Source organism: Homo sapiens, chromosome 20, assembly GCF_000001405.40.
Source record: "Homo sapiens chromosome 20, GRCh38.p14 Primary Assembly".
In the NCBI taxonomy this organism is placed as follows: Eukaryota; Metazoa; Chordata; class Mammalia; order Primates; family Hominidae; genus Homo; species Homo sapiens.
The window spans coordinates 25,990,655-25,992,648 of record NC_000020.11 but is presented as its reverse complement, the minus strand read 5'-3'; positions in this window follow the sequence as shown (position 1 = coordinate 25,992,648).

Sequence of the window (1,994 nt, the reverse complement as noted above, 5' to 3'; positions counted from 1 at the left end):
TCACAGATCCTTGCCACGTCCTGTTCTGATCCTCTCAAAACCTGTGTTACCCTGTGGCTAGATTTCTTAAGGAGATGAAAGAGAGAGACAAATGAGAACAATCTTTTCTGATGTCGCTCTACACAGCTCCTGCAGGTAGACAATGAGCTCTCCGGTGAGGCTTTTATCCTTGGCTCGGGGGTGGAGGCCTTAATCCTAGAAAACAGGTCTCTCAGGGTGGGGAGGTGATTTAAATCCTTATGAGATAGACGCAGCTCCCCATCTCATCCAGACCTTCACAAACTCAAACTGGAACCACCGGAAAAACGACTGACAACCGGCCACAAGACCCAGGGAGAGACGCGGGGAGAGGGTGACCAGAAGAAAGGCTGACGTACAAGATACCGCCCTCTGGCACACAGGGCACATGTGTCCCAACACACACACGCACACACAGACGGTCACAGAGCGAAAGACCGAGAAAGGAGAGAGAGAAATAAGAGAGAGACTTACGCACACACACAAACGCAAAAAGACATAGGGCAGTGGCACGGTAACACTCACCCCCAGGCAGCCCCTGAAGCTGCCGTGTTCTGCTCTCCGCAACTACGACCCATCAGTGAGAGAGCAGCTCATGGACACACAAGCAAAACTCTCCTTTTTTGAAAAGACTCACTGGCACACGGTCCATGCAGGCCTGAGGCTGGGACCCCGCCCTGCTTCTTCGGCCCTCTGCCCGCGGTTTCTTCCTCTTGGATGACCCTCCGTGAATTCCGGCCTCCAGAGACCATCCTGTTGATGCCCTGGCCAGGACTGGTTTTAGCCTCGACTCTGATTAATCCCTCTAATCCCAGGTACTCGCGAGGCCGAGGCAAGAGAATCATTTGAACCCAGGCGGCAGAGTTTGCAGTGAGCTGAGATCCCACCACTGCACTCCAGACTGGGTGACAGAGTGAGACTCCGACTATTAAAAAATAATAATAAAATAAATGACGGCAGAGCGGCGGCTGCAGGGACTGGGGTGGTGGCTGGTGAAGTGAAGATTGGGAGAGGGGCCTCATCGACCCTCCGCAAATCCTGGCTTGAGGCTGGCATCTCGCGCTGCCTCCCTTGCGATCTGCCTGAGGTTTCTTGCTCCTGAGGTTTCTTCCTGGTTGTCCACCCTCCGAAAATACCGGTCTCCGGAGACCATCCTGTTAACACCCTGGCCAGGACTGCTCTCAGCCTCGACTCTGACGCACTATCACACATGGCTCCTACTTTGCCAAGTCTCAGGGACCTATTTCTGGGCAACAGTGGCGGACACTGTTACCAAAGTGGTGGCTCAGTCGTCGAGCATGCTCACTGGAGAGGCCGACTCCGCCCTTGCTCCGGAGAGTCAGGCTGCGGACCCTTTAAAAAATGGCTGCAACACAGCTGACTGCGGCGACTGGGGTGGCGGTACAGTCCGAGGCGGCAAGTGGGAAGGGTACTAGGAGGGGGCCTGCAGGAGACCCAGGGTTGGACCCATAGGGGTCCTGTCGTCAGGACCTTCTTGATCCATCTTCTGCTTCAGTTCCTGGTGGAGGAGGAGCTTCAGGGTGCCGCTGGGCTCTCCGGACTCCTCCTCGAATCTGATTATGGATCCGAACCGGTGATCAGGAATGGGGTTACAATGTAGTGAGGCGGGAAGGTTCTCGCTGGGGCACAGAAAGATCTCAAGGGCCGTAAGGCATACTGTAGGCTGAAAATGCACTGACCCATGAGCCCGCTGCCTGCCTCCTTCCTAGGTGGAGCAGTGGCCTGTCTTTATCTCCAAGGCCCAGGGCTCTGGCATCCCGAAACTGCTTTCTGCGACATATGCAAAGAGAGACAGAGGCGAGTCCGAGATGGAGCCAATGTGACCACACATGACACTGATGTCACCCAAGAGCAGATGGAATGAGCGTGTGTCTCTGAGGCCATATGGGGCGACGCCGAGACAGACAGTGACGTCCAGTTGTGCGTCCGTGGGCCACTGGGACCTCCCACACAAA